At 53.0% G+C, this 12,085-nt stretch overlaps 1 protein-coding gene across 1 annotated transcript, besides 8 other annotated features; it reads left to right on the forward strand.

The window, feature by feature from the left end:
* Positions 2,309-2,408: an enhancer, noted in NCBI's record as "active region_5109". NCBI's record gives its function as "activates an Ori minimal core promoter by ATAC-STARR-seq in GM12878 lymphoblastoid cells {active_cell/tissue: GM12878}" and the evidence as "EXISTENCE:reporter gene assay evidence [ECO:0000049][PMID:35858748]".
* Positions 6,348-6,967: a silencer, noted in NCBI's record as "silent region_3645". NCBI's record gives its function as "represses an Ori minimal core promoter by ATAC-STARR-seq in GM12878 lymphoblastoid cells {active_cell/tissue: GM12878}" and the evidence as "EXISTENCE:reporter gene assay evidence [ECO:0000049][PMID:35858748]".
* Positions 6,518-6,660: a silencer, noted in NCBI's record as "fragment chr11:67351053-67351195 (GRCh37/hg19 assembly coordinates)". NCBI's record gives its function as "represses an EF-1alpha promoter that drives an FKBP-Casp9 reporter gene in an ReSE screen in K562 erythroleukemia cells {active_cell/tissue: K562}" and the evidence as "EXISTENCE:reporter gene assay evidence [ECO:0000049][PMID:32094911]".
* On the forward strand, positions 6,748-9,589 carry GSTP1 (glutathione S-transferase pi 1). The gene is made up of 7 exons (NM_000852.4): positions 6,748-6,780; positions 7,070-7,105; positions 7,400-7,506; positions 7,621-7,708; positions 8,074-8,177; positions 9,040-9,147; positions 9,325-9,589. Coding segments are annotated over exons 1-7 (633 nt in total). The 5' UTR covers positions 6,748-6,779; the 3' UTR covers positions 9,514-9,589.
* Positions 6,978-7,127: a silencer, noted in NCBI's record as "silent region_3646". NCBI's record gives its function as "represses an Ori minimal core promoter by ATAC-STARR-seq in GM12878 lymphoblastoid cells {active_cell/tissue: GM12878}" and the evidence as "EXISTENCE:reporter gene assay evidence [ECO:0000049][PMID:35858748]".
* Positions 9,627-9,696: an enhancer, noted in NCBI's record as "active region_5110". NCBI's record gives its function as "activates an Ori minimal core promoter by ATAC-STARR-seq in GM12878 lymphoblastoid cells {active_cell/tissue: GM12878}" and the evidence as "EXISTENCE:reporter gene assay evidence [ECO:0000049][PMID:35858748]".
* Positions 10,991-11,191: a silencer, noted in NCBI's record as "peak1312 fragment used in MPRA reporter construct". NCBI's record gives its function as "represses an SCP1 promoter by STARR-seq MPRAs in K562 erythroleukemia cells {active_cell/tissue: K562}" and the evidence as "EXISTENCE:reporter gene assay evidence [ECO:0000049][PMID:32103011]".
* Positions 10,991-11,349: a biological region, named in NCBI's record as "MPRA-validated peak1312 silencer".
* Positions 11,060-11,349: an enhancer, noted in NCBI's record as "active region_5111". NCBI's record gives its function as "activates an Ori minimal core promoter by ATAC-STARR-seq in GM12878 lymphoblastoid cells {active_cell/tissue: GM12878}" and the evidence as "EXISTENCE:reporter gene assay evidence [ECO:0000049][PMID:35858748]".

A 12,085-nucleotide genomic window follows, 5' to 3' on the forward strand; every position in this document is an offset into this window, starting at 1 on the left:
GGAAAAAGCCTCCTCTGGGCCTGACTCCTGAGGCCGGGTGCTTCTCCCACTCTGGGATGAAGCTCATTGGCCCCTGGTAGGTGTGGGAAGGCTCTCGGGGGTGCTTTGGGATTGAACCCAGAGCATGTCAGCGCCCTCAGTCCCTGGAGCCAGTCTTGGCGGGGGCGGAGATCCTGGCAGCAGAACTGGCATTTGGAAATATCCGGGAGAGGACCAGAGGTATGGGGCCTGAGCTCAGCCCAGGGGACTCTGAGCCCCCACCCTCTGCAGAGTCCCCTCAGGCAGGAGGAGGGGAAGCCGAGGGTCTCCTTCGGGAAGGTTCAGCAGGATGGGGCCATGCAGCCCCAGGGGATCAGGCAGGCAGAGTATGAGTGACTGCTGCTGGCACTTACCATGCACTCGCTGTGCGTGAAGCATCGTCTCGTTGAACCCTTCAGCTTGTCCTCACTGCAAGTGAGGAAAGGGAGCATGAGGTTGCAAGTAGCATGGCCAAGGTTGCAGAGGGTGAGGGAGGAGCCAGGAATTGATCCCAGACTGCCCGGCCTAGAGGCTGCGCTCTCGCCCCTGAGGCCATGGATGGAAGATGATATTGTAAGTGCCGCGAGGGCAGGGCGCTTATCTTCTTTATCGCTTGATTCGTTGAAGAGCTGTTCTGCTAACTGCATCTTTCCGGGCTTTCAGGAAAGCAGGCAGGACACTGGCCGCCAGCCCTGGAGAGTCAGTGCAGAGGTGAGGGTTTGTCTATCTGGATGACAAGGTGACTTTCAGATGCAGTCTGAAGGAATGTGACTGTCAGCGGGGTCCGAGGCTGTCCCCACCATCCCCGAAGCACCGTCAACACTGGCATCCTGGCACCGAGTGGACACACCCTGGAAAAGGCTCACTGCCACCCATGGGCCCTGCTCTAGCAAGGACAGAAGATGAACTGGGCTTCCAGTTACTCTGGGGGGTTTAGGGAGGATGACTCTGAGTGCTAAGCCACTAAATGCAGCCCCAGTTAGTCAGGTTTGGCTGGGACACCACAAATGATGTGGGCAAAGGCCTGGAGCACTGGCCATCCAGCCCCCACGCCGGTAGCTGTCTCTGGAAAAGTGTTGGACTGAAGCCCAAGCCTGCTTCCGTGCCCTGCTGAGCTGGGCAGTCAACCCCGGCTTAGCTTTTGCTGCCCTGACGGAGCCCCAGCCCTTGGTCAGGCTGCACATGGCAGCTTGGTGGGCACAGGGTAGCCGTGGATCAAGACCAAGAAAGGGACAGAGGCCAAGGGCTTTCCCAGCTTCAGTCCACCTGCTCGGGACAACTGGTGCTCCAAGCACCAAGTAGAGCTCCCAGCCCTGAGATGAGCGTCCTCAACTCCTTTCAGGGAAGCATGAACCCATGCCTGTGGCCCACCCATCCCTGCGCCTGGGCTCAGTGAGGCCACTGGGGCACCTTCACCTTGGATAAGAGTTCAGAACTTTGAAGATTAAGCTGGACCAGATCTGCTCATCCTCACAGTACATTTCAGGAGCATCTCAATGGCTCCCACCCTGGCCTGGAACCCTCCTGTGCTGCCGAGATATCAGGGAGGCGCTGGGTACTGCAAGGGGAAGATGGCATTGCTATGGAGCCACTCTTGGTGAAGGTCGAATGGGTGACATTGGAAGTCTAGCTTTTCCTGAGGCTGGGGTCTGGACCTTGGTCTAGATCAGGGGTCAGCAAATTTTTCTTGAAAATGTAGACAGAAAATATCTTAAGCTGGCCGGGCACGGTGGCTCACACCTGTAATCCCAGCACTTTGGGAGGCTGAGGCAGGCGGATCACAAGGTCAGGAGATCGAGACCATCCTGGCTAACACAGTGAAACCCCGTCTCTACTAAAAATACAAAAAATTAGCCGGGTGTGGTGGCGGGCGCCTGTAGTCCCAGCTACTCTGGAGGCTGAGGAAGGAGAATGGCGTGAACCCGGGAGGTGGAGCTTGCAGTGAGCCAAGATCGTGCCACTGCACTCCAGCCTGGGCGACAGAGCCAGACTCCATCTCAAAAAAAAAAAAAGAAAAAAGAAAATATCTTAAGCTTTGAGGACCACATAGTCTCTGTTGCAATCACTCATTTGGGCCACTGTAGCACAAAAACAAACATAGATAACACACACATGAGTGAGCATGGCTGGGGCCCAATAAAACTTTATTTACACAAGCAGGTGATGAACCACGGTCCATAGTGTCCCAATCCTTGATTTAGATGGTGAACTATCATGAGCTTTCGTTGCCCTCTCCGGTAGAAATATGGGAGAAACCACAGAGAGAAACAGAGATTTCAGGAAAACAGTAAAATTAAACAAATAAAGTGAGACGTCGCCCCTCCTGGAGGCTGCAGGCTGTGTTGAACCTGTGTGTGTCTGGGTGTACAGGGATGTGAGTAGATGCGCGTGGAGATGTGTGTGTGGGTGGAGACTGAGCGTGGCTGGAGGTGGCTGTGGTAGGATGCCAGAAGGAAGGAGTTTGCATTCAGTTCCTTTATTAGTACTCTCTGGAGTTGTTGAGGGGATGTCACTGCTGAACACTGACCCTGGTGCAGGCTAAACCGAAGTTAGCCTCTGCTACCCTCTGCTGGGTGAGGCACTGGGGAGAACAGTGGGACTGAATGGGGCGGGCTTTCTCCCTCCCACACTTCCCCTGGAAACACCCAGCACCAGCACATTAGAACATGGGGAGCCACCTTCCCCAGCGCTGCTTCCCAAGGTTCGGAAGGGGAAACTCTGACCTCAAGCTCTGTTTGAAGAGCGATAGCAAAGGGGAGAGGTTGGCTGTGGTTTGGTGGTGCTTATCTCCTTCCTTTGCTTTGAAACCACAGGCTGGCATACTACCCGAGAGAATGACCAGTGCCACCAAGGGAAGGGCACAAGCTCACTGGTTCCAGGGGAGACATCTCAGGGGACAGGAACATCCCCTGACGCTGAATGAGTGCAGCACACAGACGGAGAATACACACAAGAGAAATCATGAGGACATGAGAGAAGGCACTGGCAATAGGAAGTTACAAAAAGCAACAAAAAGAAAGAGTAGATATAAAAACAATAATCGAAGAAAGCCAACAACAGATGGGATGAATCATACGAGGTATGCGACTCATGGATGAAGAGGTGAGTGATGAGATCAGCTGGGGAACTCTCTCCCAGGAAAGACAAACCAGAAGAAACACAAATGACATCGAAGTGGCCAGGCGCAGTGGCTCACGCCTGTAATCCCAGCACTTTGGGAGCCCGAGGCAGGTGGATCACTTGAGGTCAGGAGTTTGAGACCAGCCTGGCCAACATGATGAAACCCTGTCTCTACTAAAAATACAAAAATTAGCCAGGTGTGGTGGCAGGCACCTGTGATCCCAGCTACTCAGGAGGCTGAGGCAGGAGAATCACTTGAACCAGGAAGCAGAGATTGCAGTGAGCTGAGATGGTGCCAGTGCACTCCAGCCTGGGCAGTAGAGTGACAGCCTGTCTAAAAAAAAAAAAAGGCAGTAAAGTGATAGGAGGATAGATTAGAAGGGCCATTTTCCAGATAGTGCAAGGAAGAAAGAAGAAGAAGAAGAGGAGGAGGAGGAGGAAGAGGAAGAAGACGGAGAAGAGGGCATCTCAGAAGAAACAATGGAGATACATTTCTCAAAACTGAAGAAAGATGACCAACCTCAGACCGAAGGGCCAAGAGGCCAAACCAGAGAGACAGCTTGGCAAGCCAGGAAGAGCACCAAAGCTAGACAATTAGAGTGAAATTAAAGAAAACCCAAGGTGACAAAAATTTAAAAAGCTTCCTTGTGACCTCAGTCCATTGGTGAAAATTTAAAAAAAAAAAAAAAAAAAAAAGGACAGCCTGGGCAACATGGTGAAACCCCATCTCTACAAAAAATACAAAAATTAGCTGGGTGTGGTGGCACATGCCTGTAGTCCCAGCTATTCGAGAGGCTAAGTAAGGCAGGAGGATCACTTGGGGCCAAGAGTTCCAGACCAGCTGCGGCAACATACATGTTGTGGGAAGTCAGGCACCCCGAACGGAGGGACTGGCTGAAGCCATGGCAGAAGAACATAAATTGTGAAGATTTCATGGACATTTATCACTTCCCCAATCAATACTCTTGTGATTTCCTATGCCTGTCTTTAATCTCTTAATCCTGTCATCTTCGTAAACTGAGGATGTATGTCGCCTTAGGACCCTGTGATGACTGCGTTAACTGCACAAATTGTTTGTAGAGGACAATTGTTGTGTGTTTGAGCAATGTGAAATCTGGGCATCTTAAGAACAGGATAACAGCAATTTTCAGGGAACAAGGGAGATAACCTTAAAGTCTGGCTGCCTGTGGGCTGGGCAGGACAGAGCCATACTTCTCTTATTACCGCAAACAGGTAAGAGAAATATCGCTGAATTCTTTCCCCAGTAAGGAATATTAATAATTAACAGCCCTGAGAAAAGAATGCATTCCCAGGGCCGGGCCACTGAAATGGCCTCCCTGAGAGTGCCTGCCTTTATTCAGAAGTAGAAAGGGATGAAACACGCCCTAGTCTCCTGCAGCACCCCCAGACTTGATAGGATTAGGAAATTCCAGCCTGGCAAATTCTAGTCAGACCGGTTCTCTGCTCTTGAACCCTGACAGTGCGTGCACAGTGGGACCTGGAAGTTCATTAGTGATTCTAGTTTCGCCGTGACCTTCTGCCCTGTGATCTTTTGTCGCCCTTGAAGTATGTGATCTCTGTGACCCACACCCTGTTCGTGCACTCCCTCCTCTTTGAAAATTGCTAATAAAAACTCGCTGGTTTTACGGCTCAGGGGGCATCACGGAACCTGCGGACATGTGATGTCTCCCCTGGACACCCGGCTTTAAAATGTCTCTCTTTTGTACTCTTTCCCTTTATTTCTCAGGCCAGCCGACACTTAGGGAAAATAGGAAAGGACCCACGTGAAATATTGGGGGCTGAATTTCCCCCGATAATAAGTCTCTTAAAAAAGACTTTTAAATGAAATTTCTTTGTTTTTTAACTTTTATTTCTGTTTTGGGGGTACATGTGAAGGTTTGTTACATAAGTAAACTCGTGTCTTCGGTGTTTGTTGTACAGAATATTTCATCACCCAGGTATTATGCCGAGTACCCAATAGTTCTCTTTTCTGCTCCTCTCCTTCCTCCCATCCTGCACCCTGGAGTCAACCACAGTGTCTGTTGTTTCCTTGTTTGTGTTATAAGTTCTCATCATTTAGCTCCCACTTACAAGTGAGAACATCCAGTATTTGGATTTCTGTTCCTGCATTAGTTTGCTAAGGATAATAGCCTCTAGCTCCATCCATGTTCCCACAAAAGACATGATCTAGTTCTTTTTAATGGCTGCATTAAATGAAGTTTTAAAGATACAACATAAACACCAACCTCTTCCCCACCACAAAAATCCCTTGCTGAATTTGATTACACTTAAATTAACGAGTTTTGTTTCATGAAAGACTCCTTGGACAAACTTGACAGTTGATGGAATAGGAGAAGCTGTCTGTCATGTCTAAAGCCAACAAGAGATCAATATCTAGAATAAATGGAGATCTGCAAATCAACAGAAAGTAGGCAGCAAAGCCAAAGAAAATAGCCTAAGGCACAGCCACTAAAAGGAACGTGATCATGTCCTTTGCAGGGACATGGGTGGAGCTGGAAGCCGTTAGCCTCAGCAAACTCACACAGGAACAGAAAACCAGCGAGACCGCATGGTCTCACTTATAAGTGGGAGCTGAACAATGAGAACACATGGTCACATGGCGGCGATCAACACACACTGGTGCCTGTTGAGCGGGGTGCTGGGGAGGGAGAGTACCAGGAAGAATAGCTAAGGGATACTGGGCTTAATACCTGGGTGATGGGATGATCTGTACAGCAAACCATCATGGCGCACACACCTATGTAACAAACCTGCACATCCTCTACATGTACCCCAGAACTTCAAATAAAAGTTGGACGGCCAGGCGTGGTGGCTCACGCCTGTAATCCCAGCACTTTGGGAAGCCGAGGCGTGCAGATCACCTAAGGTCAGGAGTTCGAGACCAGCCCGGCCAACATGGTGAAACCCCGTCTCTACTAAAAATACAAAAATCAGCCAGATGTGGCACGCACCTATAATTCCACCTACTCGGGAGGCTGAAGCAGAATTGCTTGAACCCGAGAGGCGGAGGTTGCAGTGAGCCGCCGAGATCGCGCCACTGCACTCCAGCCTGGGCCACAGCGTGAGACTACGTCATAAAATAAAATAAAATAACACAAAATAAAATAAAATAAAATAAAATAAAATAAAATAAAATAAAATAAAATAAAATAAAAAAATAAAATAAAATAAAATAAAATAAAGCAATTTCCTTTCCTCTAAGCGGCCTCCACCCCTCTCCCCTGCCCTGTGAAGCGGGTGTGCAAGCTCCGGGATCGCAGCGGTCTTAGGGAATTTCCCCCCGCGATGTCCCGGCGCGCCAGTTCGCTGCGCACACTTCGCTGCGGTCCTCTTCCTGCTGTCTGTTTACTCCCTAGGCCCCGCTGGGGACCTGGGAAAGAGGGAAAGGCTTCCCCGGCCAGCTGCGCGGCGACTCCGGGGACTCCAGGGCGCCCCTCTGCGGCCGACGCCCGGGGTGCAGCGGCCGCCGGGGCTGGGGCCGGCGGGAGTCCGCGGGACCCTCCAGAAGAGCGGCCGGCGCCGTGACTCAGCACTGGGGCGGAGCGGGGCGGGACCACCCTTATAAGGCTCGGAGGCCGCGAGGCCTTCGCTGGAGTTTCGCCGCCGCAGTCTTCGCCACCAGTGAGTACGCGCGGCCCGCGTCCCCGGGGATGGGGCTCAGAGCTCCCAGCATGGGGCCAACCCGCAGCATCAGGCCCGGGCTCCCGGCAGGGCTCCTCGCCCACCTCGAGACCCGGGACGGGGGCCTAGGGGACCCAGGACGTCCCCAGTGCCGTTAGCGGCTTTCAGGGGGCCCGGAGCGCCTCGGGGAGGGATGGGACCCCGGGGGCGGGGAGGGGGGGCAGACTGCGCTCACCGCGCCTTGGCATCCTCCCCCGGGCTCCAGCAAACTTTTCTTTGTTCGCTGCAGTGCCGCCCTACACCGTGGTCTATTTCCCAGTTCGAGGTAGGAGCATGTGTCTGGCAGGGAAGGGAGGCAGGGGCTGGGGCTGCAGCCCACAGCCCCTCGCCCACCCGGAGAGATCCGAACCCCCTTATCCCTCCGTCGTGTGGCTTTTACCCCGGGCCTCCTTCCTGTTCCCCGCCTCTCCCGCCATGCCTGCTCCCCGCCCCAGTGTTGTGTGAAATCTTCGGAGGAACCTGTTTCCCTGTTCCCTCCCTGCACTCCTGACCCCTCCCCGGGTTGCTGCGAGGCGGAGTCGGCCCGGTCCCCACATCTCGTACTTCTCCCTCCCCGCAGGCCGCTGCGCGGCCCTGCGCATGCTGCTGGCAGATCAGGGCCAGAGCTGGAAGGAGGAGGTGGTGACCGTGGAGACGTGGCAGGAGGGCTCACTCAAAGCCTCCTGCGTAAGTGACCATGCCCGGGCAAGGGGAGGGGGTGCTGGGCCTTAGGGGGCTGTGACTAGGATCGGGGGACGCCCAAGCTCAGTGCCCCTCCCTGAGCCATGCCTCCCCCAACAGCTATACGGGCAGCTCCCCAAGTTCCAGGACGGAGACCTCACCCTGTACCAGTCCAATACCATCCTGCGTCACCTGGGCCGCACCCTTGGTGAGTCTTGAACCTCCAAGTCCAGGGCAGGCATGGGCAAGCCTCTGCCCCCGGAGCCCTTTTGTTTAAATCAGCTGCCCCGCAGCCCTCTGGAGTGGAGGAAACTGAGACCCACTGAGGTTACGTAGTTTGCCCAAGGTCAAGCCTGGGTGCCTGCAATCCTTGCCCTGTGCCAGGCTGCCTCCCAGGTGTCAGGTGAGCTCTGAGCACCTGCTGTGTGGCAGTCTCTCATCCTTCCACGCACATCCTCTTCCCCTCCTCCCAGGCTGGGGCTCACAGACAGCCCCCTGGTTGGCCCATCCCCAGTGACTGTGTGTTGATCAGGCGCCCAGTCACGCGGCCTGCTCCCCTCCACCCAACCCCAGGGCTCTATGGGAAGGACCAGCAGGAGGCAGCCCTGGTGGACATGGTGAATGACGGCGTGGAGGACCTCCGCTGCAAATACATCTCCCTCATCTACACCAACTATGTGAGCATCTGCACCAGGGTTGGGCACTGGGGGCTGAACAAAGAAAGGGGCTTCTTGTGCCCTCACCCCCCTTACCCCTCAGGTGGCTTGGGCTGACCCCTTCTTGGGTCAGGGTGCAGGGGCTGGGTCAGCTCTGGGCCAGGGGCCCAGGGGCCTGGGACAAGACACAACCTGCACCCTTATTGCCTGGGACATCAACCAGCCAAGTAACGGGTCATGGGGGCGAGTGCAAGGACAGAGACCTCCAGCAACTGGTGGTTTCTGATCTCCTGGGGTGGCGAGGGCTTCCTGGAGTAGCCAGAGGTGGAGGAGGATTTGTCGCCAGTTTCTGGATGGAGGTGCTGGCACTTTTAGCTGAGGAAAATATGCAGACACAGAGCACATTTGGGGACCTGGGACCAGTTCAGCAGAGGCAGCGTGTGTGCGCGTGCGTGTGCATGTGTGTGCGTGTGTGTGTGTACGCTTGCATTTGTGTCGGGTGGGTAAGGAGATAGAGATGGGCGGGCAGTAGGCCCAGGTCCCGAAGGCCTTGAACCCACTGGTTTGGAGTCTCCTAAGGGCAATGGGGGCCATTGAGAAGTCTGAACAGGGCTGTGTCTGAATGTGAGGTCTAGAAGGATCCTCCAGAGAAGCCAGCTCTAAAGCTTTTGCAATCATCTGGTGAGAGAACCCAGCAAGGATGGACAGGCAGAATGGAATAGAGATGAGTTGGCAGCTGAAGTGGACAGGATTTGGTACTAGCCTGGTTGTGGGGAGCAAGCAGAGGAGAATCTGGGACTCTGGTGTCTGGCCTGGGGCAGACGGGGGTGTCTCAGGGGCTGGGAGGGATGAGAGTAGGATGATACATGGTGGTGTCTGGCAGGAGGCGGGCAAGGATGACTATGTGAAGGCACTGCCCGGGCAACTGAAGCCTTTTGAGACCCTGCTGTCCCAGAACCAGGGAGGCAAGACCTTCATTGTGGGAGACCAGGTGAGCATCTGGCCCCATGCTGTTCCTTCCTCGCCACCCTCTGCTTCCAGATGGACACAGGTGTGAGCCATTTGTTTAGCAAAGCAGAGCAGACCTAGGGGATGGGCTTAGGCCCTCTGCCCCCAATTCCTCCAGCCTGCTCCCGCTGGCTGAGTCCCTGGCCCCCCTGCCCTGCAGATCTCCTTCGCTGACTACAACCTGCTGGACTTGCTGCTGATCCATGAGGTCCTAGCCCCTGGCTGCCTGGATGCGTTCCCCCTGCTCTCAGCATATGTGGGGCGCCTCAGTGCCCGGCCCAAGCTCAAGGCCTTCCTGGCCTCCCCTGAGTACGTGAACCTCCCCATCAATGGCAACGGGAAACAGTGAGGGTTGGGGGGACTCTGAGCGGGAGGCAGAGTTTGCCTTCCTTTCTCCAGGACCAATAAAATTTCTAAGAGAGCTACTATGAGCACTGTGTTTCCTGGGACGGGGCTTAGGGGTTCTCAGCCTCGAGGTCGGTGGGAGGGCAGAGCAGAGGACTAGAAAACAGCTCCTCCAGCACAGTCAGTGGCTTCCTGGAGCCCTCAGCCTGGCTGTGTTTACTGAACCTCACAAACTAGAAGAGGAAGAAAAAAAAAGAGAGAGAGAAACAAAGAGAAATAACCATGGTCACTGTCCTGGAGCACCACACAGTGTATATAGAAGGAGAAAAGTCTCATAGAAACATGCTTTCTAGGCACAGCACGTGCCTGTCAGATGGACAGACTCCAGGATGGAGGGAAATGAGGGATTCTGGGAAGGAGGGATGTGAGGAGTTCCCTGTCCTGGGGGATTAGCTGAGTAGCTCTGAGCAGCCCAGGTTGGTGGGAGGGTCATTCTGCTTGGATGGGGGCTTTCCTGGCTTCCTGCTGACTTGTGAGTTTTGGTGCATCCTAGGCAAGCAATGACACTACTGTATTAGGATTCTCCAGAGAAGCTAAGCCAGTAAGATGCTGTAGGGCAGGCAAAATTTTATCTCTGTCCTTTTAGGGTTTTTTGGCTGGGCCTGAGAACTAAAGACATGAGCAAGAGAAAAGCATTCAAATTTATCTAGGCTGGGCATAGTGGCTCATGCCTGTAATCCCAGCACTTTGGGAGGCTGAGGCAGGTGAATCACTTGAGGTCAGGAGTTCAAGACCAGCCTGACCAACATGGTGAAACCCCGTCTCTACTAAAAATACAAAAATTAGCCAGGTGTGGTGGCGGTTACCTGTAGTCCCTGCTACTTGGGAGGCTGAGGCATGAGAATCGCTCTCTCTCTCCTGCCACCTTGTAAAGATGTGCCTGCTTCCCCTTCACCTTCCACCCTGATTGTAAGTTTCCTGAGGCTTCCCAGTCATGCTTCCTGTTAAGCCTGCAAAACTGTGAGTCAATTAAACCTCTTTTCTTCATAAATTACTCAGTCTCTGATAGGTCTTTGTAGCAGTGTGAGAATGGACTAATACACTGTTTTTGTTTTGTTTTGTTTTGTTTTGTTTTTGAGATGGAGTCTCACTCTGGTGCCTAGGCTGGAGTATAGTGGTGTAATCTCTGCTCACTGTAACCTCTGCCTCTCAGACTCAAGCAATTCTCCTGCCTCAGCCTCCTGAGTAGCTGGGATTACAGGTGCCCACCACCGCGCCTGGCTAATTTTTGTATTTTTAGTAGAGATGGGCTTTCATCATGTTGGCCAGGCTGGTTTCGGACTTTTAACCTCACGTGATCCACTCGCCTTGGGCTCCCAAAGTGCTGGGATTACAGGCGTGAGCCACCGCACCCAGCCTAATACGCTATATTAATCAGAAACTGCCAACTAACCTCTAACTTGGGACTTTTCACTCTAACCAGTCAAAATTGTTTTCTTTGTCTGGCTTCTGCAAAATGATTAAGTTTCACTTCCCCTCTAATAGAAGCACTAGCTGCTTTGGTCTTGTGCTATCTTAATTTATGTGTCACTGAATGCTCAAATAAACTCTTTAGAATGTAAATGGGCTTAAGTTTATCTTCTAGCAGATCTGATGTCAGAGGTAGGATCCTTCAGAAGGACATCAGAAGGATCTGAAGGATTTCTCCCCATCCTGGGCCCAGTGATGGTCTCCAGGAGCAATGAGCAAACAGGTGTAGGCATTTCACTGAGCCCCCTGCACGCTGCTTCCTGCAGCATATTTGAAGGTCATCACTGGTAAGTCCCACTCAGATACTGTATTAGTCCCTTCTCACACTGCTATAAAGAACTACCTGAGACTGGGTAATTTATAAAGAAAAGAGGCTAAGCCAGGTGTGGTGGCTCATACCTGTAATCCCAACACTTTGGTTTTTTTTCTGGTTGTTGTTGTTGTTGTTTTTTGAGTCAGAGTCTCACTCTGTCGCCCAGGCTGGAGTGCAGTGGCACAATCTCAGCTCACTGCAACCTCCACTTTCTGGGTTCAAGTGATTCTCCTGCCTCTGCCTCCCAAGTAGCTAGGATTACAGGCACATGCCACCATGCCTGGCTAATTTTTGTATTTTTAGTAGAGACAGGGTTTCACCATGTTGGCCAGGCTGGTGTCAAAACTCCTGATCTCAGGTGATCCACTCGCCTCGGCCTCTCAAAGTGCTGGGATTACAGGCGTAAGCCACTGCACCCAGCCAATCCCAGCACTTCAGGAGGCTGAGGCGAGCAGATCACTTGAGGTCAGGAGTTGGAGACCAGCCTGGCCAACATGGTGAAAACCCCATTTCTACTAAAAATATTTAAAAAATCAGCTGGGCATGGTGGCACGTGCCTGTAATCACAGCTACTCGGGAGGCTGAGGTAGGAGAATCCCTTGAACCCGGGAGGCAGAGGCTGCAGTGAGCTGAGATGACGCCTCTGCACTCCAGCCTGGGTGACAGAAGATTGATTGACTCACAGTTCTGCATGGCTGGGGAGGCCTCAGGAAACCTACAATCGTGGCAGAAG

The sequence above is a fragment of the Homo sapiens genome, chromosome 11 (genome assembly GCF_000001405.40).
Source record: "Homo sapiens chromosome 11, GRCh38.p14 Primary Assembly".
NCBI lineage: Eukaryota > Metazoa > Chordata > Mammalia > Primates > Hominidae > Homo > Homo sapiens.

What these genes read in the sequence shown, in the direction of transcription:
- GSTP1 (NM_000852.4), top strand. An exon ending in TCACCTGGGCCGCACCCTTG is followed by an intron (nt 7,709 to 8,073) that starts GTGAGTCTTGAA and finishes ACCCAACCCCAG; the next exon opens with GGCTCTATGGGAAGGACCAG. An exon ending in CCCTCATCTACACCAACTAT is followed by an intron (nt 8,178 to 9,039) that starts GTGAGCATCTGC and finishes GGTGTCTGGCAG; the next exon opens with GAGGCGGGCAAGGATGACTA.